The sequence below is a fragment of the Homo sapiens genome, chromosome 14 (genome assembly GCF_000001405.40).
Source record: "Homo sapiens chromosome 14, GRCh38.p14 Primary Assembly".
NCBI classification, from domain to species: Eukaryota; Metazoa; Chordata; class Mammalia; order Primates; family Hominidae; genus Homo; species Homo sapiens.
This window is the reverse complement of record NC_000014.9, coordinates 57,687,287-57,712,596: the sequence shown is the minus strand read 5'-3', so window position 1 is coordinate 57,712,596 and position 25,310 is coordinate 57,687,287. Positions and strand designations below refer to the sequence as shown.

Sequence of the window (25,310 nt, the reverse complement as noted above, 5' to 3'; positions counted from 1 at the left end):
AGTGAAGAAAACAGCTACATTGAAACAAACCTGGTAATGAGACTTCACATAGAAAATATTACGTGTGAGATACCAATTTGTTAATGTCAATACCTTGAAAAACTCTAGGCTAATAACTTGAGCTAGTAGCCAATGTATTAGGTTTGGCTCTTATAAACATGCAATTTTACCTTTCACTAGCAGGATATTTCCCTGTTAATCATGACTTATGTGCTAAAACCAGATAGAAGCAAAGTGAAACGAATCACTAATTTGAAACGACCTTCAGGATAAAGCTGTGTGCAGTGAAAACAACCTCATACTGTGTAGGCAAATGATGCCACCTCATGTTACAGTTGTGATTTGGCTTCAAGATAAATAGGGATTCAGTAGCAGAGAACACAGCCCGAGAAGGTGGCATGTTCCTCTCAAAAAGTGCAATGAGGAATGCTAGACCCTGGCTAATATACCTTATTGTCCTTTGTGGAGCCTTTTGCACTCCATTTATAAAAGAAGAGCTGCAACCTTTCAATGTATAGTAGAGACAATTGACAATAATCCAAGATCTAGGATGAAACCTCCATATGCCATGCTATGTACCTGTTTCTCTAAGTAATGTACAGAGTGAGAAACCTGGATTCTTACTTAAAATTAGAAACAGACACAGTACATTTCTTGCCTGCTTTTCCTGGCATTATGGTAAATAAGTGAACCAGTTTCTAAACTCTCACTTCACTGAAGGCTGTAAGTTAATTGGATAAGTGTTTTCCAATAGTTCTAAAATAGCTCTGGGGTACATTGGATTTGTTTGATCTTACAGTAGTGCTGCATGCAGCTTAATTTTCTGCGCTTCGGTTTGATAAGTCTGTGCCTCATCATATCTTGATTTGGCTTTCTGGTATATGTGTGTACATGTGACCCTTATACCCTCTTTCTGTGGTTCATTATTGACTGTGACTATAGAGATTCCTGAGCTAGTCTTGAGGAAAGTCTGATAGAGCACCATAACAAATGGTGGTTCTTTCAACAGTATGTTAATTCTGGAACAGAGGCTTTTGTGCCAGTGCTATTGCTATTAGGTTGGGCCAAATTAAATTTCCATTATTGTACATAAAAAATGGTCTCATAATGGCCATTTCATATGATTCAACTCATAGTTTAACTCGGTCATAACCACTTTTTTTTACTTCTAAACCTGATGGGTAGTGTTCCCATGTGTATCAGTCCATTCTCACGCTGCTGTGAAGAAATACCCGAGACTAGGTAATTTATAAAGGAAAGAGGCTTAATTGACTCACAGTTCTGCCTGGCTGGGAAGGCCTCAGGGAACTTACAATCATGGCGGAAGGCAAAGGGGAAGCAAGGTGCCTTCTTCACAAGGTAGCAGCAGGGAGAAGTGCAAGCAGAGGAAATGCCAGATGCTTATAAAACCATCACATCTCATGAGAACTCACTCACTATCATGAGAACAGCAGGGGAAACCACCCCATGATCCAATCACTACCCACTGGGTACCTCCCATGATATGTGCGGATTATGGGAACTAAAATTCAAGATGAGATTTGGGTGGGGACACAGCCAAACCATATAATTCCACTCTAGCCCCTCCCAAATCTCATATCCTCACATTTCAAAACACAATCATGCCTTCCCAACAGTCCCCCGAAGTCTTAACTCATTCCAGCATTAACTCAAAAGTCCAAGTTTAAAGTCTCATCTGAGACAAGGCAAGTCCCTTCCACCTATGAGCAGGTAAAATAAAATACAAGTTAGTTCCTTCCAAGATAAAATGTGGTTACAGGAATTGGTTAAATATCCCCATTCCAAGCAGGAGAAGTTGGCCAAAACTAAGGGGCTTACAGGACCCATGTGAGTCCAAAATTCAATAGGGCAGTCATTAAACCTTAAAGTTCCAAAATGATCTCCTTTGATTCCATGTCACATCCAGGTCATACTGGTGCAAGAGGTCGACTCCCATGGCCTTGGGCAGCTCCACCCCTGTGTCTTTGCAGGGTACAGCCCCCATCCTGGTTGCTTTTATAGACTGCTTTGAGTATCTGTGGCTTTTCCAGGTGCATGGTGCAAGTTGTCAGTGGATCTACAATTCTGAGGTCTGGAGGATGCTGGCCCTTTTCTCACAGCTCTACTAGGCAGTGCCCTAGTAGGGACTCTGTGTGGGGGCTCCATCCCCACATTTCTCTTCTGCACTGCCCTAGCGGAAGTTCTCCATGATGGCTCCACCCCTGCAACAAACTTCTACCTAGATGTTCAGGCATTTTCATACATCCTCTAAAATCTAGGCAGAGGTTCCAAAAGCTCAATTCTTGACTTCTGTGCACGAACAGGCTCAACACCATGTGAAAGCTGTGAAGGCTTAGGGCTTGCACCCTCTGAAGCAATGGCCTGAGCAGTACCTTGGCCCCTTTTAGCCATAGCTGGAGCTGAAGCAGCTGGGACACAGGACACCATGTCTTGAGACTGCACAGAGCAGGAGTCCCAGCCCAGGAAACCATTTTTCCCTCCTAGGCCTCTGGGCCTGTGATGGGAGGGCCTGCTCTAAAGGTCTCTGACATGCCCTGGAGACATTTTCCCCATTGTCTTGGTGATTATCATTTGGCTCCTTGTTACTTATGCACATTTCTGCAGCCAGGTTGAATTTCTCCTCAGAACATGGGTTTTTCGTTTCTATTGCATAATCAGGCTGTAAATTCTCCAAACATTTATGTTCTGCTTCCCTTTAAAACATAAGTTCCCATTCCAAACCATATCTTTGTGAATGCATAAAACTGAATGCTTTTAAGAGCACTCAAGTCACCTCTGAATGCTTTACTGCTTAGAAATTTCTTCTACCAGATACCTTAGGGTATCTAAGAGATCTTACCCTTAGATACCTTAGAAATCTAATCATCTCTTTCAAGTTCAAAGTTTCACAGATCTCTAGGGCAGGGGCAAAATGTTGCCAGTCTCTTTGCTAATGCATAGCAAGAGCACCTTTATTCCAGTTTTGTGAGCGGCAAGCCACCTAGGTGCCGAGGCAAGAGACCGAGGGCATGAGCTGTTCCAGTATAATAAAATATATAAAATAAGAATAGTTATACTAGATATAGATCATAGATATGATTATATATGAATATCATTAATCATTAGTTTATAGCAATTACTCTTTATTCCAATATTATAATAATCCTCGCTCTATAATCATAACCTAGGAAAAACCAGGTCATACAGAGATAGGAGCTGAGGGGACATAGTGAGAAGTGACCAGAAGACAAGAGTGCGAGCCTTCTGTTATGCCTGGACAGTGCCACCAGAGGGCTCCTTGGTCTAGCGGTAATGCCAGCATCTGGGAAGACACCCATTGCCAAGTGGACCATGGTCTAGCGGTAGCATCAGTGTCAAGGAAAAACACCTGCTACTTAGCAGACCAGGAAAGGGAGTCTCCCTTTCCCTGGGGGAGTCTAGAGAAGACTCTACTCCTCCACCTCTTGTGGAGGGCCTGCCATCAGTTGGGCCTGCCCGCAGTTATCTGGAGGCCTAACCATCTCCCTGTGATGCTGTGCTTCAGTGGTCACGCTCCTAGTCCGCTTTCATGTTCCATCCTATACACCTGGCTCTGCCTTTTAGATAACAGTGGCAAATTAGTGAAAGTACTAAAAGTCTCTGATATGCAGAAATAATGGTGTAAGCTGTCTCTCTCTCTCTCCCTCTCTCTCTCTGCCTCAGCTGCCAGGCAGGGAAGGGCCCCCTGTCCAGTGGACACGTGACCCACATGACCTTACCTATCATTGGAGATGGCTCACACTCTTTACCCTACCCATTTGTCTTGTATCCAATAAATATCAGCGCAGCATGGCATTCGGGACCACTACTGGTCTCCGTGTCTTGGTGGTAGTGGTCCCCTGGGCCCAGCTGTCTTTTCTTTTATCTCTTTGTCTTGTGTCTTTATTTCTACAATCTCTCGTCTCCGCACATGGGGAGAAAAACCTACCGACTCTGTGGGGCTGTACCCTACAAGTTCCCAACAAGTTTCTCATCTGCAACTGAGAACACCTCAGCCTGGACTTCATTGTCCACATCACTATCAGCATTTTGGTCAAAACCATTCAACAAGTTGTAACTGTCCAATGGGTTCACCTTGTCTGCTACCTAGACATAACTGATTTATCAAGACAGGATTACAAAGGAGAAAGAGTAATTCACACAGAGCCGGCTGTGTGGGAGACCAGAGTTTTATTATTACTCAAATCAGTCTCCCTGAGCAATTGGGGATCAGAGTTTTTAAAGATAATTTGGTGGGTCGGGGCTTGGGAAGTAGGGAGTGCTGATTGGTCAGGTTTGAGATGGAATCATAGGGGGTCAAAGTGAAATTTTCTTGCTGTCTTCTGTTACTGGTTGGGATAGCAGAACTGGTTGAGCCAGATCACTGGTGTGGGTGGCATCAGCTGATCCATCAAGTGCAGGGTCTGCAAAATATCTCAAGCACTGATCTTAGGTTTTACAATAGTCATGTTATCCCCAGGAGCAAGTGGGGGAGGTTCAGACTCTTGGAGCCAGAGGCTACACGATCCCTAAACTGTAATTTCTAATCTTGTGGCTAATTTGTTAATCCTGCAGAGGCAGACTGGTCCCTAGGAAATAAGGGGGTATTTTTGGGAAAGGGCTGTTAATCAACTTTGTTTCAGAGTCTAACCATAAACTGAATTCCTACCTAAAGTTAGTTCGGCCTACACCAAGGAATGAACAAGGACAGCTTAAAGTTTAGAAGCAAGATGGAATCAGTTAGGTCTGGTTTCTTTCACTGTCATAATTTCCTCAGTTATAATTTTGCAAAGGCAGTTTCAAAATCTCTAGGAAGTTCCAAGCTTTCCCACATTTTCCTGTCTTTTCCTGAGTCCTCCAAACTGTTGCAACCTCTGCCCATTACCCAGTTCCAAAGTCTCTTCCACATTCTCAGGTATCTTCTACCAATGTCCCACTAGCTCGGTACCAATTTATTGTATTAGTCCATTCTCATGCTGCTATGAAGAAATACCCAAGACTGGGTAATTTCTAAAGGAAAGAGGTTTCATTGACTCATAGTTCTTCACGGCTGGGAAGGCCTCAGGAAATTTACAATCATGGCAGAACGTGAAGGGGAAGTAAGGTACTTTCTTCACAAGGTAGCAGCAGGGAGAAGTGCAAGCAGGGGGAATGCCAGATGCTTTTAAAACGATCAGATCTCATGAGAACTCACTCACTATCATAAAAACAGCATGGGTGAAACTGCCCCCGTGATCCAATCTCTTCCCACCAAGTCCCTCCCATGATATGTGGGGATTATGGGAACTGCAATTCAAGATGAGATTTCGGTGGGGACAAAGCCAGACCACATTATCATGCTTGCAGCTCTGTCTTTATTCTGTGTCACCTTATCTCAGGAAGTAACATCTTCATCATCCAGCTACCCAAATCAGATAAGTGGGAGTTATCAAAACTACACCTTCTCCTTTATTCTCCACATTCCCCCAGTTTCAAAGTTTTACTGATTCTTTTTCCCAATACCTTTTAAATCCAAATACTTCTCTCCATCTTGGTTCAAATTGACATAATCTTTTGCCTGGACTAAATACACCAGCTTCCAAACCAGTCTTCTCACATCCATTCTTGCCTTCATTAATCTAACCTTTCTATTGCAGCCAGAGAGAGAGATCTTTTCAGAATCTGGTAATGACTCTCTCCTTCTCAAAGCCCTTCAATAGCTTCCTATTGGCCTTAAGAGAAAATTCACATTCTTGACTTGGTTGCAAAGTCCTGCGTTATCTGGCCCACTTCTCCAGCCTCATCTTGTATTCATTCTACTATAGCCACAGTGGCCTATTTCAGCTCCTTGAACACATGATCTTCTTTCCCATCTCTTGGTGGTACATGCTGTTCCAGCTTTCTTTCGCCCACTCCACCTTCTCCACTCATGTGGCCAAATGCCAGTCTTACTGGGCTCTGCTTGAACTTTGCTTCCTCACAGAGCCTTCTTTGACTACCCAGGGTAAGTTGAGACTCCTGTTATATGCTCAAATAGCATCTGAATTTCTTCTTCATGACATTCCTTATATTTATGAACTTAAGTCACACTGCATGATCCTTGAAGGTAGAAACCATTTCTGTGTTGTTTACTGCTGTATCCTCTGTGCTTGACACAGGCCTGCAACATGGCCACCTTCAATAAACCTGTAGTAAGTGAATATATGACAGTCTCAGAAACATGTCCAATTTTTGAAGTTACATTTTCAGCTTTTTCCTATAGAATTCTTGATGTCCCATTGGCAATTCCACCCGTTTCTCCCTCTCACTTTAAGAAGACTAGACTGCAATCTAGGACAATGATGTCATTTTTTGACAAAAACTTGAATCTGCCTTAAATTTTTTACATAGATGGACACAGACATAATCTCTGTAATATGCAGGCATAGTTATTACTAGTAACCGATCATTCACAGTTCACAGTTGATTCAAGCACTCTGTTGAGGCTGACGTTACAGTGGAGAATGATTGATCCAATTATCTAGAACAGCTCAGCTAAGGAAGCACAAAGACTCATTGCAGTAGGCACATCAAGTTTTAGAGATGCTTTCTTTAGTTAAAGGTGCCTTCTTTTGGAGGAAACACAGGATTGAGTGGAGCACTAGGCATGTACCCTGAACACATTGTTCTTTCTGTTTGAAGTGGGAAAAGTTGAAGACAACTCTTCTAACCTCTAGTTAGGGAGAAAAAAAACTAACTTCGAGGAAACATCTATATAAGAAAATATGACAGTATGTTAGTTTCCCAGTAGGAAACAGATGCAGTCAAAGGCTTTAATTAAAAAGTGTTATGGACTATATATAGAGGTGTGTACAGGGTTAATAGGACCAGTAAGGGATGGTGAAACATTCAGAGTCTAATCACAGTGGAAAAGTGACATCATCCATTGGTCTCAAGAAGCAGAGGGAAAGAATAGTGATACCCAAACCCTGAGCAAGCTGGGGTCATGGAAGTGGGGCTACTCAACAGGAGCTTTGGCCATGGAGGAACATACCTGCTTTCATCTCATGCTGGTGCCTCCATTTGTCTAGACCTAGTCAAAAGTCAGAGAGTTAGAAAGCCCATATCATAAGAGTCAATGGAGGGCAGCTTTCTGGGATGCGGAGTAGAGCAGAGAAGGGCAGAGAATAAGTGGAGTAAGGTGGAGTCAGACAGAGAACCAGCACAGGAAGTATACAATTAGTGCTAGATTTTGTAATAATAACTGTGTATGCACTAGAATTGCTATTTGTATTGTTCTAAATAAATGAATTAAGGACTTACCATATATTCTACCTTCTGGCCCTTTTGTTCAATTATTGAGTAAAATAAGATCTTTTTGATTCCATTTGCAGTAGGTTTGATTCAAAACCTACTGCTGGATTGAATTCCAGTAATTTTACTAGCTAGCATTTATTAGTCCTCTCTTTGTACCAGCCACTATTCAAAATTTTTAACATATATTAATTCATTTGATTCTCAGAACAATTTTATGAGCTGGATATAGTATTGCGCAATTAGTAGCCAATGCAGAACTATACATTATTCTTTATCCTAATTCTTTTTGTGCACTGAGGTACTCCTGGTGACATTCTATTGCTAGTAAGCAGCCTCTGCTGTCCAACCCTAATTGGGAAAGAGCCACTGACTCAGGAGCACTTCTGACTTCCACTCTGCTGCAAGAAGCCCTGATGGGCAATTTGTATGCAGGGTGAGCTTCTGCCTGAGTATTGCTAGGAAAGGAGTGATTACAGGCCAGGGGCTCTCTCATGCACATAACATCAACAGTAAATGAGACATTTTGGTTGACTTCCTGTGTAAATGCACACAGGGCCACAGAAGCGAGCTCTTTCTTTGCACAGAGGCCTAAATTTATGTGTAGGGAGAGTATATCTTAGCTACTGATCTAGTCATTATATCTCACCTTGGCCTTCTCATGCATCTTTCTCCTTAATCCACTCTTCCTTGTCTCCCGCAACAGGGGCCAGTGTGTCAGGAGATAGCCCTTCTTGTCAGGGGGTGGGTATCATGTCATATCTTGTCAGAGTGTCCAGTATAGTAACCATAGGGTCCTCAAAGGGGCTGGAGCAGCTCCTAACATTTTATGCCAATCTTTGTAACGATGAACATTTTTTTCTAAGACAGTCCAGCTTTCATCAGAATTTGTTTAAAGGCAAGAATTACTATCTGGCCATTGACACTTACTATATAAATGGAGAAACTGAAACCATAGAAGTTCAGGTCCCACACAGGTATTATCAGAACCAGGACCAGAACCCCAGCTTTCCAACTCTTAGTTCAGAGGTTTCCGTCCGACCAGACTTTTACACATAGGAAACCACAAAGTGGTGGTTAACAGAGGCCAAACTTGCTTCCAACCCCTTTGGAGTCCTGAGAAGTTAGAACACTTACTCAAGGTCAAGCAATAAAATTTTGGGTGACTATGTTTCTTCACACCAAAATAAAATAGTTTTGAACTCTCTAGTTCTAAGTCCTGCCTAGAGAAATAGTTCTTTGCTATAGAAAAGGTGAAGAGAAATACTTTGGGGTCAAGGCTCTAGATTTTGGATCTGGGATGGCAGTAGTGGAAAATTCCAGCAGGGAATTCTAAGGGTCTTTGGAGTTCTGTGGCTCACTGCATCATCCCAGAGGTTCATTTTCCAGAGAACAGGATACAGCCTGGTTTTTGTTTTTGTTTTTTAGGAAAAAATTACGCCCTTTAAGGCACTTGTTTTCAAGCTGATAAAGTATAATAATAGAGTATTGAAACAGTGTAAAAGTGATTTGAAAAGCTATCTGGATATTTTCAGCTTATTAGAGTGATTCCCTTTAGAATGAATGACAAATAATTTCCTGAGGAGTTTTTGAGCCTAATGCTAGTAAGTCAAAAGAGTATGAGAATAGCTTGATTATGTCAAGTTTAGCATCCAGGGGAAATAGACGTGCTTAAGGATGAGGTTGCTGTACTCAGCTGTGACCCCTAATTGTATGGGGAATAATAATCTGGTATTGGCTTAGCCCTGTTCATAAAGGTTCACCTCTACCACTGCCCACTTGTTGGCAGTTGCCACTACCATTAGCCCTTTGGACAGCGTAGGTGATGGCAAAGACAAGGGGATTACTCACATTTGTCTGTTGGCCTCTTGGGAGCAGCATGTTTGAGGATGGCACATTCCAACTTAGCCCTGCCCTGTGCTATTTGAGAGCCATGCACTGCAAACTTGCAAATTGTCATTTGTCCAGGGTAAGTAGTAAAGGACACTGATTTAATTTGCCACCTACTGTATTTTTCTGATGATGTGGGGAAGGATGGAGGGAACAGACATTCAAGCATGTATTACATGCCAGTTACTCTGCTTGCATTTGCTCTATCTCACTACCAGTCTGTGAAGATGAAGTTGATGGACGAAAATAGCACTCAGGTTTATATAGCTGGTAGGTGGCAAAAAACCTGACTTGAATTGGTCTGCTTGACTCTAAAGTTCTAGTTTCCTATTATTCTGCCGTGCCATCTGGCTTAGCAGAAGAGCTGGTGGTTCATTTTATATTTATGTGTGCAAAATCAATCTACACTGTAGCTTGATATAAAGAATATGTGTGTATGTGTGTGTATTTTTAAAAACAAAGACAATGTATCCCAACAACCCACAGAAAATGTAGGATCAGAACTCAGAAAATTATTATCCTCGTTGATTATGGCCACTGTCCACTGCCTTTATTTTATAGCCTACAGAAGATTAGCATCTCCTTATATGCCTAAATATACTCATCCATAAAATGGGGATTAGACTGAATCAGCTCACGGAAGGAACATCGTGCAGAAAATGTGATTAATAATGGAAAAGCACTTTGGAAAGAGAAAGTGTGCTGCTGGTGCTGTAATTTGCTGGCCTAGAACAAATCAGTTTTGAAATCTCTCTTAGTCTTCAGATGTTTAAATTAGAGGTGGAGTTGACATATTTTTCACTGTTTTTGTTAATATTCACCCTTATGACAGAGGCACAGAGCAAACATTTTGAGAAACTATCATTACCAGTTTGTAGAATGAGATATTTTATTCAACTAAATTAAAGATGCCAGAGTTAAATGGATTTTTTACATGATGACCTGTCATATGCAAGGACATATCAAGTCACAACTGTAACAGAATATTATTTAAAATAGAGGGAAGTACAATGAATAGAACAGGCACAGGTTTGGTATCAGTTTTCAGTTAAGCACCCTGTTTTCCTTTTTTTTTTTTTTTTTTTAAAGAAAATGATATTTATTTGGGCATAGTGCATTACAATGGGAATATGTGTGCCATAGTAAACTGTGCGTATTCAGGGGGGTAAAGGAGGACAAAGGTTTTTAAGGGGAAAATACAAGAGGATTACTTCACAGTGTTGAGATAATTATCTTTGGCTACAAGGATGAGTAACAAGGGTGATGCCAGTCCAGGGTGGGACAGGCAGTGGCTGGTCAAATGCCTTTGCAGAAGTTTGTTTTCCTGTAACTTTGTGGTAGCCTTTGAAGCATCCTGTTTTCCAAACAGACCACCCTCTAATCAAACTTATGGATACAGCTTTGTCTCTCATGGCTGTCTCTTTCATATTACTATTGCATATTTAGTCTCCTTCCCATTCCTAGAATATTGAAAATATACAGTAGTCCCCCATTATCCACAATTTCTATTTTCACAGTTTCAGTTATTTGTGGTCAGCTGAGGTCTGAAGAATGGGTAAGTACAATACGGTAAGATATTTTGAGTGTGAGAGGCATCGCATTCATATAACTTTTATTATAGTAGGTTGTTATAATTGTTCGACTTCCATATCAGTTATTGTTGTTAATCTCTTATTGTGCCTAATTTATAAATTAAACTTTATCATAGGTATGTTTATACAGTCATGTGCCACGTAACGACATTTAGGTCAATGACTGACCACATACGCAACAGTGGTCCCGTGAAATTATAGTGGAGCTGAAAAATTCCTATTGCTTAGTGACATCATGGCACAATGTATTACTCATGTGTTTGTGGTGATGCTGGTGTAAATCAACCTACTATGCCGCCAGCTGTATAAAAATATAACATACAATTATGTATGGTATATAATACTTGATAATGATAATAAATGACTGTGTTAACAGTTTATGTTTTTACTATAACTATACTTTTTATCATTGTTTTAGAGTGTACTACTTTTACTCATTTTTTGAAAACAATTTAACTGTAAAACACCCTCAGGCAGGTCTTTCAGGAGGTATTTCAGAAGAAGGCATTGTTATCATAGGAGATGACAGCTCCATGCATGTTATTGCTCTTATAACCTTCCAGTGGAACAAGAAGTGGAGGTGGAAGACAGTGATATTGATGATTTTGACCCTGTGTAGGTCTAGACTAAAGTGTGTGTCTTAGTGTTTAACAACAATAACAAAAATGTAAAAAGTTAAAAAAAAATAGGCCAGGCATGGTGGCTTACGCCTATAATCCCAGCACTTTGGGAGGCCAAAGTGGGAGTACTGCTTGAACCCAGGAGTTTGAGACCAACCTGGGCAACATAGTGAGACCCTGTCTTTATAGGTACATAAAAAAGACAGCAAACAAAACCAAATTTAAGCTAGAAAAAAAGTATGGAATAAGGATATAAAAAAGAATTTTTTGTTGTTTTTGGGGGGCTTTTTTGTTTGTTTGACACAGGGTCTCACTCTGTCACCCAGGCTGAAGTGCGATGATGTGATCTTGGCTCACTGCAGCACCTGCCTCCCTAGGCTCAGGTAATCCTCTCATCTCAGCCTCCTGAGTAGCTAGGACTACAGGTGTACACCACTATGCCTGGTCAGATTTTTGTATTTCTTGTAGAGATGGAGTTTTGCCATGTTGCCCATGGCCTGGTCTCGAACCCCTGGACTCAAGCAATCCACCCGCCTCAGCCTCCCAAAGTGCTGGGATTGCAGGTATGAACCACCATGCCTGGCCTGAAAATGTTTTTGTACAGGTATACAATGTGTGTTTTAAGCTAAGCATTATAAAAGAGTCAAAAATTTTTTAATTTAAATTTATAAAGTAAAAAATGTTACAAACTAAAGTTATTATTAATGAAAGAATTTTTAAAATATAAATGTAGAGTAGCTTAAATGTACAGTGTTTATAAAATCTACAGTAGTGTACAGTAATGTCCTAGGACTTCACATCCACTTACCAGTTGCTCACTGACCTAGAGCAATTTGTAAACTTCCTTGTAAACTTCCTTCATCGTAAGTGCCCTATACAGGTGTACCATTTTCTGTCTTTTATACTGTACTTTTTAATGTTTAGATACATAAATACTGAACAGTGTGTTACAACTGCAAATAGTATTCAGTACGGTAACATGCTGTAGGGGTTTGTATGCTAGGAGCAACAGGTTATACCATATAGCCTAGGTATGTAGTAGGCTATACATCTGGATTTGTATAAGTACACTCTACGATGTTGACACAATGACAAAATCACCTAACAATGCATTTCTTAGAAAGTATCCTCATCATTAAGCAACTTAAGATTGTATAGGAAAAAATATAGTACCTATAGGGTTCAGTACTATTTGTGGTTTCAGACATCCACTGGTGATCCTGGAATGTATCTCCTGCAGATAAGGGAAGACTACTGTAGTAAATCAGTTATCCTGTGCAATTAGACCTTAAATTTTGCACAAAAATCCCATGGACTCTCAACTCAAAGGAAAGTTAATCTTGGAATTTGTATTTTAGAAGAAATTGTAATTCCTTTTAGAGACTTTTTAAATGAATAAATTTATATGGACCTCATTTTTCTAGTTCCCTGGGTCTATGTGTCCTTAAAGTAGATCAGTTTGTTCCCTATTAGTTGGCTTGTTTACTATAAGGAAATAGAATTTCTTCAATTCTTTCCCCCAAAAGAGGGGTGCCTTTTTGTTTTGCTGTAGTTTTCTTAAGGTAAGATGGCTTCCCTGGAGAGATTGCACATTTGGTGTGATTAAATTTATCCTATGGAAAATCTTGATTTGAAAGAAGAAAGCCTCATGCTGCTTACCTTTGAGGCCTGGCTTAATAAGTGAGAATGTCTGGCCTGGTTTCATGAGCCACACTTCCTGGTGACAAGAAATTCTTGCACGTAAGGGATTCTTGGGTTTGGTTGTATTTACTTGCTGAGCAGAGTTCTCTTGAACATTTGCTATTCACGTGGGGAAATGGGGTCTAATCTGAAAAAGTGTTAAAATAAAAGCTTGGGGGCCTCTTCATGACATATTCATCACCTTCCTAAACATTGGCATTAAAGATTTCAGTACTATAACGTGAAAGATATTGTCCCCAAATCCTCTATTTTTTTGTTCTTTTGTATGAAGTGCACTTCTCTATCAAATCAGAGAGCTAAATAGTCATGATTGGAAACAACATTCTTCTTTATAAAATTTCTTTCTGTGTATTCTATATGCTATTAAACATTTTCATTTCATAAAATGTCTATATGGTCTATTCCTACAGAAGGCAGACTTACATCTTACTTAAAAGAGCTATAAGTGCCTTAATACAATTTCCCTTAATCAGTTCATTGATTTTCCAGATTTGCTCAATGAAACAGCAAATTCTCCTTTTTTGGTTGGCATCTGCTGTCATCCTTCTGGGATTCATTTATAAAAGTAACATGTTCATGGCCAGGCATGGTGTCTCACACCTGTAATACCAGCACTTTGGAAGGCCGAGGTGCGTGGATCTCCTGAGGTCAGGAGTTTGAGACCAGCCTGGCCAACATGGCGAAACCCCTTCTCTACTAAAAATACAAAAATTAGTCAGGCACCTGTGGTCCCAGCTACTTTAGAGGCTGAGGCAGGAGAATCACTTGAACCTGGGAGGTAGAGGTCGCAGTGAGCCGAGATCATGCCACTGCACTCCAGCCTGAGCAACAGAGCAAGACTCCATTGAAAAAAAAAAAAAAGTGACATGTTTAGCTATGTGGTGCTGGAATACAATTCTTTCTCAGGGTAGCTCTTTGAAACTTAACCTATTAATTTGTGTTCCAATTCCATTATCTGCTTGAACCTCAAGAAGTATGTATCTTGGAAGACTTTGAAAAATGCTTTCTAAAATGATATGTTTTCACACTTTGTTGTATAGTGGTGAGTTGGTAAATGAATTAAAAAACAAAACCAAAAACCTTCTCTGGGGACTTGGGCAAAAGCATTAAGAACCTTTCAAAATAGGTCCATTCTTCAAAATAGCAATTGCACTTGTATGAATTCATCCTAAGGGAGAATATAATCGTAAGTGTGCCCTAACAAGGATCTTTATCACAGTGAGTTTGTAATAGCAAATACTGAAAGTAATCTAAATGCTCATTACCAGGGTATGATCTAAATAAATTATGATATATCCTTACACTGCAGCCATGATAGGGGAAAGCAATCATAGAAACTAGTAGATACTTACATAATCTAAGAAGATGTCTGGTGCTGTTCTAAGTAGTTTATATTAACTCAATTCTCTTAAGAATCTCTATGAGATAGGTGCTGTTATTATTATCCCCATTTTACATGTGAAGAACTGAAGCACAAACAATTTAAGAACCTTGCCCCAAATCATGTAGCCGGTAAATGGTGAAATCTGGATTTGGACCCAGGCAGTGTTGTTTCAGACCTCATGTCTTAAGCACTCATTTATTCTACCTTACAGACAAAAAGTAGATTACAAAGTAATTGTACAGTATGATTCTCCATTTGTGATTGTGTATGTCTATATGTATACACCCATACACATGTATGTCTGTATAGGAGTATAGTGAAAAGAATAAAAAGGAAATGTCAGACTGTTAACTTATTCTGGCAATGGAATTTAACAAATATTTTTACTTACATGAATTTTCTTTCTTTTTTTTTTTTTTTAAACAGGGTCTCACTCTGTCACCCAGGTTGGCATGCAGTGGCACAATCACAGTTCACTGCAACCTCTGCTTCCTGGGCTCAAGCGATTCTCCAGCCTCAGCCTTCCAAGTAGCTGGGACTAGAGATGCATGTCACCATGCTTGGCTAATTTTTGTATTTTTTGTAGAGATGGGGTTTTGCCATGTTGCCCAGGTTTGTCTCGAACTCCTGAGCTCAAAGCAATCTGCCCGCCTCGGCCTCCCAAAGTGCTGAGATTACAAGCATGAGCAACTGTGCCTGGCCATGGATTTTCTAAATGTTCTATAATAATCATATTCAGGGCCATTAAACCAACCTTAATACATTTTAAAAATTTGTTTAAAATTATGCTAATTATGCTCTTTGACCATAAGTTAGTTAAAATAGAAATAACAAAAAGACATTTGAAAAATCCCTAAATATTTAGAATTATATAGCACACTTGCAAATGACCAATGTATCAAAGAGAAAGTCATAAGAGAAATTAGAAATATTTTGCATGGAATGAAAATAAAAATACAACATATCAAAATTTGTAGGATGAATCTAAAACCTGCTTAGAGAGCAATTTACATAATAAAATATATTTTTAAAAATTTTACTTAAAGTTCTGGGATACATGAGCAGAACGTGCAGGTTTGTTACATAGGTATACACGTGCCATGGTAGTTTGCTGCACCTATCAACCCGTCATCTAGGGTTTAAGTCCTACATGCATTAAGTATTTGTCCTAATGCTCTCCCTCCCCTTTCCCCCACAACCCCGGACAGGCCCCGGTGTGTGATGTTCCCCTCCCTGTGCCCATGTGTTCTCATTGTTCAGTTCCCACTTATGAGTGAGAACATGCAGTGTTTGGTTTTCTGTTCCTGTGTTAGTTTGCTGAGTATGATGGTTTCCAGCGTCATCCATGTCCCTGCAAAGGACACATGAACTCATCCTTTTTTACAGCTGCATAATATTCCATGGTGTATATATGCCACATTTTCTTTATCCAGTCTATCATTGATGGGCATTTGAGTTGGTTCCAAGTCTTTGCTATTGTAAATCGTGCTGCAGTAAACATACATGTGCATGTGTCTTTATAGTAGAATGATTTATAATCCTTTGGGTATATGCCCAGTAATGGGCTTGCTGGGTCAAATGGTATTTCTTGTTCTAGATCTTGAGGAATTACCACACTGTCTTCCACAATGGTTGAACTAATTTACAGTCCCACCAACAGTGTAAAACCATTCCTATTTCTCCACATCCTCGCCAGCATCTGTTGTTTCCCAACTTTTTAATGATTGCCATTCTAACTGGTGTGAGATGGTATCTCATTGTGGTTTAGATTTGTGTTTCTCTAATGACCAGTGATGATGAGCTTTTTTTCATGTTTGTTGGCTGCGTAAATGCCTTCTTTTGAGAAGTGTCTGTTCTCAAACTGTTTGATGAGTTTGTTTTTTTCTTATAAATTTGTTTAAGTTCCTTGTAAATTCTGGATACTAGCCCTTTGTCAGAAGGATAGATTGCAAAAATTTTCTCCCATTCTGTAGGTTGCCTGTTCACTCTGATAGTTTCTTTTGCTGTGCAGAAACTCTTTAGTTTAATTAGATCCCATTTGTCAATTTTGGCTTTTGTTGCCATTGCTTTTGGTGTTTTAGTCATGAAGTCTTTGCCCATGCCTATGTCCTGAATGGTATTGCCTAGGTTTTCTTCTAGGGTTTTTCTGGCTTTAGGTTTTACATTTAAGTCTTTAATCCATCCTGAGTTAATTTTTGTATTTTATTAGAAAATAATAATATAAAAGTCTCCAGTTTCATCCATGTCCCTACAAAGGACATGAACTCATAATTTTTTATGGCTGCATAGTATTTCATGGTGTATATGTGCCACATTTTCTTAATCCAGTCTATCATTGTTGGATATTTAGGTTGGTTCCAAGTCTTTGCTATTGTGAGTAGTGCTGTTATAAACATGCGTGTGCATGTGTCTTTATAGCAGCATGATTTATAATCCCTTAGGTATATACCCAGTAATGGGATGGCTGGGTCAAATGGTATTTCTAGTTCTAGATCCCTGAGGAATCGCCACACTGACTTCCACAATGGTTGAACTAGTTTACAGTCCCACCAACAGTGTAAAAGTGTTCCTATTTCTCCACATCCTCTCCAGCACCTGTTGTTTCCTGACTTTTTAATGATTGCCATTCTAACTGGTGTGAGATGGTATCTCATTGTGGTTTTGATTTGCATTTCTCTGATGGCCAGTGATGATGAGCGTTTTTTCATGTGTTTTTTGGCTGCATAAATGTCTTCTTTTGAGAAGTGTCTGTTCATGTGCTTCGCCCACTTTTTGATGGGGTTGTTTGTTTTTTTCTTGTAAATTTGTTTGAGTTCATTGTAGATTCTGGATATTAGCCGTTTGTCAGATGAGTAGGTTGCAAAAATTTTCTCCCATTCTGTAGGTTGCCAGTTGATTCTGATGATAGTTTCTTTTGCTGTGCAGAAGCTCTTTAGTTTAATTAGATCCCATTTGTCAATTTTGGCTTTTGTTGCCATTGCTTTTGGTGTTTTAGACATGAAGTCCTTGCCCATGCCTGTGTCCTGAATGGTATTGCCTAGGTTTTCTTCTAGGGTTTTTATGGTTTTAGGTCTAACATTTAAGTCTTTAATCCATCTTGAATTAATCTTTGTATAACGTGTAAAGAAGGGATGTATAAATAATCCTCATTATTTACACATGATATTATTTTGTACATAGAAAATCCAAAAGAACTTACAGAGGAGTTTTAAATTAATATGAGAATTTATCAAGGCTACTATATTAGAAATATACAATTAGGTAATTGTAATTCTAAATCAGCAATAAACAGAAAGTTTAAAAATTGAAATGCCATCTACAATAGCATCAAAAATCAAATAAGAATAAATCTGACAAATTATGTATAAGACCTCTATACAGAAAACTGTAAAATATTATCGAGAGACAAGACAGAAATACAAGACAGAAATAAATGGAGAGATATGCTATGTTCACAGATTGGAAAATTCAGTAGTGTGGAGATGTCAGTTTTCCCCAAACTGAGGGATAGATTCTGTGAAATATCTATCAAACTCTCAACATTAGTTCAAATAGTTACAAGCTGGAAAAACTGTTTCTATTAACATGAAAATATGTAACTAACTGTGATATAGTCATACAAGGGAATAATATTCTGCAATAAAAATGAGTACATTAGAGCTACAGAAAATGTTTCTATGAGTCTCACAAACATTATGTAAAATGAAAAAAGCAAGGCACACAAAAAGTGATATCTGATCCTGTTTATGTAAAGGATGTACAACTGTATCACACAATTTTTGATAAATACCTATTTGATTATTTAAATATTGAAAACAATGATAAGTACCTATTTGAATGTTGAAAACAACGAAGCAAAGCTAGTCAATAGAGTTTAAGGATCCATTCTTTGGTGGTCAATCCATGAAGAATGCCAAAGATGCAATTATACTTGGAGGTAGAGGTAGGATTTCAAGAGGGTATGAAGAGATCATCTCAGGTACTCCCAATGTTCTATTTCTTGACATGGGAAGGGGTTACATGCTGTTGACTATGTTACAAATGATTGAATTCTGTGTCTTCAGTTCGTTTACTTTTCTAAATCCATGTTATAATTTACTGTTTTCTAAAGGAATTTTAGTAAATGAAGGAGTTGAACTGGGTGAAATTTTTTCATCTCTGAAGTTTGACACTAGGTTCAAGCATCATAAATATACCAGATTTAGAATTCTTGGGAAAATATATTCGTCTGATACGTGCTCAAATTCTGATTGGGGATCTAACCACCTGTGCTGTGTGGGCATAGAACCTACACAGATTAAGCAAAAAAAAAGTTAGGGGACAAATTGCCGAGACCAGCTCAGTCGGGGAGACCCTAACTCAGTGGTGCTAGAGGAATTAAAGACACACACACAGAAATATAGAGGTGTGGAGTGGGAAATCAGGGGTCTCACAGCCTTCAGAGCTGAGAGCCTCAAACAGAGATTTGCCCACGTATTTATTGACAGCAAGCCAGTGATAAGCATTGTTTCTATAGATTATAGATTAACTTAAAGTATTCCTTACAGGAAACAAAGGGATGGGCCAAAATAAAGGGATGGGCTCTGGCTAGTTATCTGCAGCAGGAGCTTGTCCTTAAGGCACAGATCGCTCATGCTGTTGTTTGTGGTTCAGGAATGCCTTTAAGCAGTTTTCTGCCCTGGGTGGGCCAGGTGTTCCTGCCCTCATTCCGGTAAACCCACAACCTTCCAGTGTGGGCGTCATGGCCATCACGAACATGTCACAGTGCTGTAGAGATTTTGTATATGGCCAGTTTTGGGGCCAATTTATGGCCAGATTTTGGGGGCCTATTACCAACAACAAATAATATTTTATTGTTGGAAAATACTGACCTTACATAAATGTTGTCTTAGTGCCCTACTCATTTGGTAAATTTAGCTCTTTACAGAGAAGTATACACATTGTAAAATGAATTGAATAGAAAAAGAAAGTACTGTAGAACTGCCTGTATTTGTTTTCTTGAAATAATCTGCTCTTTAAGAATCAAAACGGGCTCTCATACTTACTGTTGAAAAAAGTTTTAATTAATAAAATAGTTACTGGAATAATGAAACATATGGGATTTTTTAATTTTTGTCATGTTTAGAGTATTCAAATAGGTATTTATAAAAATTGTGTGATACAGTTGTGTAGGTGATGGATACTTCTGGAAGCACTGATCTAAATGGACTTGTGTACATTTCAGTGACTTTTTAGGACACTAGCTCCACCTGTAGGTAGAGATTTGCACACAAATAATATGGAAAAATGAGTAGCTGCTGTATACTACAGGCCTGTTACTTAGCCTTGTGGATTATAAGTAAGGGTTTTTCAGTTAAATTGTATCTCCTTCTTGGTGGTCAGGTATGAACAAAAAGAAGCTGATCCCTCACTACAGATTAACATGAGAATTTATCAAGGCTACTGTGTTAGAAATATACAATTAGGTAATTGTAATTCCGTATCAGCAATAAGCAGAAAATTTAAAAATTTAAGTGCCATCCACAATAGCACCACAGGAGAGTGCCAGGGAATCTCTTGAAATAGAAAGAAAATGTTATTTAATTCCTTAGAGCAGGGAACTTCGTCAGATTAAGTGGTGAACTAAAATCAATTATTGACAAACAAGACTGATTTTCCAAACAATAAGTGATAAACTGTCTCAAAACCTCTGCTGGAAGATAAAATGATTATAAATTAAAAATCAATAGACTATTAGCTATAGAAATAAATATATGACCATTTTAAAGGGGTACCACCATCCATATATAACACAAGTTAATAGCAATTCGACATTGAGACCAACAAAGGGCTAGTTGGCCCTTTACTGAGTGAAAACAATGGATTTACCACAAATGAGCTGTACGTTAGAAAAGTCCTTCCACGGTAGAACTTCGTCGTACTAGGAGCTTCGATTGGGAATAAGAAAACCTATTGGATGCAATATAGAGAATTTCAAATATAGTCTGTTGAACATTTTCTGGAAATTTTTATATGGAAGTGAACAACATGTAAGTTTTCTACTTGGCTATCATGATCTCATCACAATCTAGTTTTCCAGTCTTACCTCCTATTTCACCTTTTTGCATGTTACAGTTTTCTATCAGACTATATTCTCCAGCTTCCTGGACACACACTATCGTGTTCCACATCTGAACTTTGTTCACTCTGGAATGTCTTCTCTCCTCACCCTCTTCTATCACATCCTGCAAGATTGATCTCACTGAGACCTCCTTTGTAAGGCCCTCCACCCCCGTAGCATTGTTCATCTAAGTCTGTCACATTTGCTATCATGTTATATAAGTATCTCGTCTCTCCTATTAGAGTGTAGCTTTTTAAGAGAAGGGCCTTCTTTTCTGAGCTTTTTCATATCCCCTAATAGAGCCCAGCTGAATATCTTTAAATGGCAGTCACTAAATAAATATTAGTTGAAAAACATAATAAACAAATATCATCTTTGAAATGTAATGTTATATACATAAAAATTATTTTGCTGCAAGATAATTAAACATAAAAGGTCAGAAGTTCACATAAATGACTATAATTAATATTACTTTTGCATAGCCAGTATAAGCTTCAGTTATTCTGTTGATTTATTCACATGCTAGTATTATAGACAACACTTCTGTTCTTAATTTTCTTAAATAGCACGTCCACCATTATATGTGCCCTGATACCAGTTTTGGATATAATTTTATAACATGTATAAAATCCTTTACTACCCTTGAACTTCTGTCCTTGGTTGCAGACTGCAGTTTCCTTTGACCTTCAATGTATAAAAAGAAGTTAGGTTTCAGTCCATTATAGTGTGTGATATGTTAACTAGCATTTCATCTTTCTGCCGTTGGTTTGCTATGTTACCCAAAAGCTGGTTGGCAGAAAGTGAGCATGAGGTTTCACCTTTTCATTTCCTCCCCTCCCACCCTCTCTCCCTTTCTTTCTTTTTTTCTTTATCCAACATTTGTTGATTACTTCTTACAAGCCATACACTGTGCCATGACCTCATTTACATTAATAAATCAGATGTCATTACTTCATGTTTTGTAGGTCACAGTCTAGGGCAAGGGTCACCAATCCCCAGGCCACAAACCGATACCATGGTACCCAGGGTTGGGGACCCCTGCTCTAGACTGTTACGTACCAATACTGTTAGGTACTGGGCTGCACAGCAGGAGGTGAGCAGCGGGCAAGCAAGCCAAGCTTCATCTGTATTTAGAGCTGTCCTCATTGCTTGCATTATTGCCTGAGCTCCACCTCCTGTCAGATCAGTAGTGGCATTAGAATCTCACAGGAGCATGAACCGTATTGTGAACCGTGCATGCCAGGGATCTAGATTGTGTACTCCTTATGAGAATCTAGTGACTGATCTGTCAGTGTCTCCCATTACCCCCAGATGGGACCATCTAGTTGCAGGAAAGCAAGCTCAGGGCTCCTACTGATTCTGCGTTATGGTGAGTCGTATAATTATATTTTTTGTATATTACAGTGTAATAAGCGAAATAAAGTACACAATAAATGTAATGTGCTTGAATCATCCCAAACCATCCCTCATCACCACCCCTTTCCCCTACATCCATGGAAAAATTGTCTTTCATGAAACCAGTCCTTGGTGCCAAAAAGATTGGGGACTGCTGGTATAGAAGACAAGAAAAACATGAAAATCTCAAAATCTGCTAAGCTGTCTCCACTTCCTTATCTATTCTCTCTTCAATCTAGCCCAGTTGAATTTTTGTCCTACTTCACCAAAGGTAGTGCTCTTTTTGCTTATTTATTAACTATCTCTCCCCACTATAATAGTGCCATGAGAACATAGACCTTACCTTTCTTATTTGCTACTGTATTCGTAGTACCTAGCACACAGTAGGTGCTCAATAGTTTTTGCCAAATAAACAGCTTATAATGGGGATTTGTAAAAAGTGTTAGGGCCATTGACAGGAAGGAGTAGCTAACTCATTCCATGAGATGCTGACTTGGTCAATTGGTTATATGTGATTTTAGGCTTAAAAGTTGAAGTATAGAAGGAGTTTAGAAGTAGAGATGAAAGTATGAAAGAACATTCTAGAAAGAGAGAGTGTGCAAAGATTTAGAGGTGGCAGAAAGCATGATTTGTTCGAGGAAAAGAAAATGAACTCATTTAGTTTAGGCAAAGACAAAGTGGTTACATGCTAAAACAAAATTTGAGCTGTATCTTTATTTTTTTTTATTTTTATTTTTTATTATACTTTAAGTTTTAGGGTACCTGTGCACAACGTGCAGGTTTGTTACATATGTATACGTGTGCCATATTGGTGTGCCGCACCCATTAACTCGTCATTTACATTAGATATATCTCCTAATGCTATCCCTCCCCCCTCCCCCGACCCCACAACAGGCCCCGGTGTGTGATGTTCCCCTTCCTGTGTCCAAGTGTTCTCATTGTTCAATTCCCACCAATGAGTGAGAACATGCAGTGTTTGGTTTTTTGTCCCTGTGATAGTCTTTAAAGCAATAGGTAGCCATTGAAAATTCTTAAGCAAAGGAATGATATATTCAATTTTTATTTTCAAAAAACACCTCTATTGTTATAGAAAATGGCTTCTAGGGTGGTGGTGGACAGTGAGACCGGGAGCAGGGTTTTTTTGTTCTTCCTGCTCTGTTGTTTGTTGCTATTTGAATAGCTGCCTCATTCCTAAAAGCAGTTTAGCATTTGAGATGGCTCTTTCTTGGGCGACTCTTGGAATTCTCTAGGTAATGGTGTGGACTTGAATTAAGCCAGTAACAATGAGCTAAAAGGTGGGATAGACTCCAGAAGAAATTAGGAGGTCAACTTGGCAGGACAGGGTGAATGGCCTGGGGGTAAGACAGAGACGAGTTGAGGGTGGAATGAGGCTTACTAATTCAATTGGAGGAGGATGCTGTTAACTGAGGTCAACAATATAGGAAAAGCCAACATATTTTCGAGTGAGGAGAAGTTAGTTCATTTTGTGGAATGCTGAATTTGAAGCACTTATAGGATATTTCAGTGGAGAAAGAGAGGATAGAGAAAAACCATGGTTTTCTTGATGATGTGTTTTTATTTAATATCTTTATAAAGAGATTTCTTATTGCAGTTGCCTAACAAATAATAGGTACACAGTAACTTTGACATCATCTTAGGCAACTTCCCCAAGCATGGTTATTTTCTCTAGTACTAACCATCATACTGCCACAGCACTGTTTTAACCAGGTTAATTGCCTATTAGAATTGTAAATGACAGAAATTAATTTACAATGGTAAATAATGAGGAGCCCTTTGTAATAATGCACAATTCTGCTTGAATTTTCAAGCATTTGTCACTTAAGGAACACAAGATCAACAAATGAGTATGAGCCAGTAGGAAGAATAGCAGGGAAAGCTTGACTGCAGTTAGATAGTAGACCACTGGTTACATCTAGATAGAATTGTTCTCACCTTGATGTCTAAATATGGTTGCTCAGATTAAGAGATGGTACCAACTTCATTATAAAGAAAACATACCGTGGAGATGCGATCATTGTTCATTTCATCCAGATCATCTTGAAGGTCTTTTCCAACAGAAACTATAAACATATGTGGTTGTATTCTGTTATTATCCCTGTCTGAGTAAGCAATATAAAGAACCCATAATCTCATCAAAATAATCCATCGTACCCTGTAATTTATAAAGCTGTCTTATGGTGATGCCATAGTTAAAGATAACATCCATTCTGCCATGCAACAATTTGAGTTGTTTTTCCAAGGTCTTAATATGCTCTTAGCTGCAATCAAACCTAATTTATCCCAAATTTTACTTGCAAAGGAAACATTAGGTCCCACATGTCTGTACGTAGTAGTCAGGAACAAAAAATTAACCAATACCTTTTTTTTTCCTCTATCTCTCAGTCTCTGTCTGTCTCTCTCATGACCTCTGTCTCTCTCTTTTTTGCTTTCTTTCTCTCTTTTCCTCATTAGTAACCCATCCTTTTAATTCCTGGTCAATTTTTGAAATACCAAAGAATGGGCTTTACTCCACACTAATTAATTCAGGCTCTTTATAAATGATATCTATCAGAATTCTCTAAACATTCCTCAGGAGAGTCTAGTGTGCACTGGAATTGAGAACTATCCCTCTCTGGAAGCAAGTCCATATTGATGATTCTACAATCTTGCAGTGTGACAATTCATCTTCCAGTACCACAATTTTAACCTGAATGCGCAGCTGCTTCAGTCTTCATATATGTTGAAAACATTTTTTTCTCAAATTAGAGTTCTCTTGTTTATATTCTTCAGAAATTACATTTTAGGACATTGATGAATGTTTTTCTTTTTGCAAATAAAGGAATCTATCACTAATAGCTCATTAGTTCCTGGTAGACTAAGGTAAGGCCAGTAAAGGAGGTAAACCACAAGGGATTGAAAAGCAGCACCTGCCTCTGTGTATGTCTTGCAGGAGGGTCTCTCCTTTTGATAGAAGAATAAAGGGCACAGGAGGTGGCAGGCAGAGAGGCTAATTAGCTGATATTAGAGAGGGAAAGTGTTAGCTCTGCTGATGCACAGACTGTGGAGGACTCACTAAGGACACGGAGCTTGGAATTCAAAAGAGCTCATTTGCTCTAAAAGATGAGAAAAATGTTCAGAGTGAGAAAGATGTTTCCTGTTTGGAATAGGACAAAGAATACCAGTGTTCAAATAGCAGCTATTTATTGGAGACCAGTCATAGGTGGCTCCAAATTATACACATAGCAGATATATAAACAGGTCTAGTTACAGAGCAAAAAGATGCTCTCCAAATTTAATTCAATACGTCCCATGGTACCATTGTTCCTGTATATGGTTAT

At 38.9% G+C, this 25,310-nt stretch overlaps 1 protein-coding gene across 14 annotated transcripts in view; it reads left to right on the top strand.

The window, feature by feature from the left end:
- The window catches only part of SLC35F4 (solute carrier family 35 member F4), a 419,262-nt gene that overhangs the window by 270,585 nt on the left and 123,367 nt on the right, over positions 1-25,310 (top strand). Inside the window, exon 2 of one of the 14 annotated variants that reach the window (NR_159373.2) lies at positions 11,861-11,955. The exons of the other annotated variants lie outside the window; for them this stretch is intronic. The gene's annotated coding sequence lies outside the window, so the exon portion shown is untranslated. The remainder of the gene's footprint in view (positions 1-11,860; positions 11,956-25,310) is intronic. 14 annotated transcript variants of the gene reach the window in all.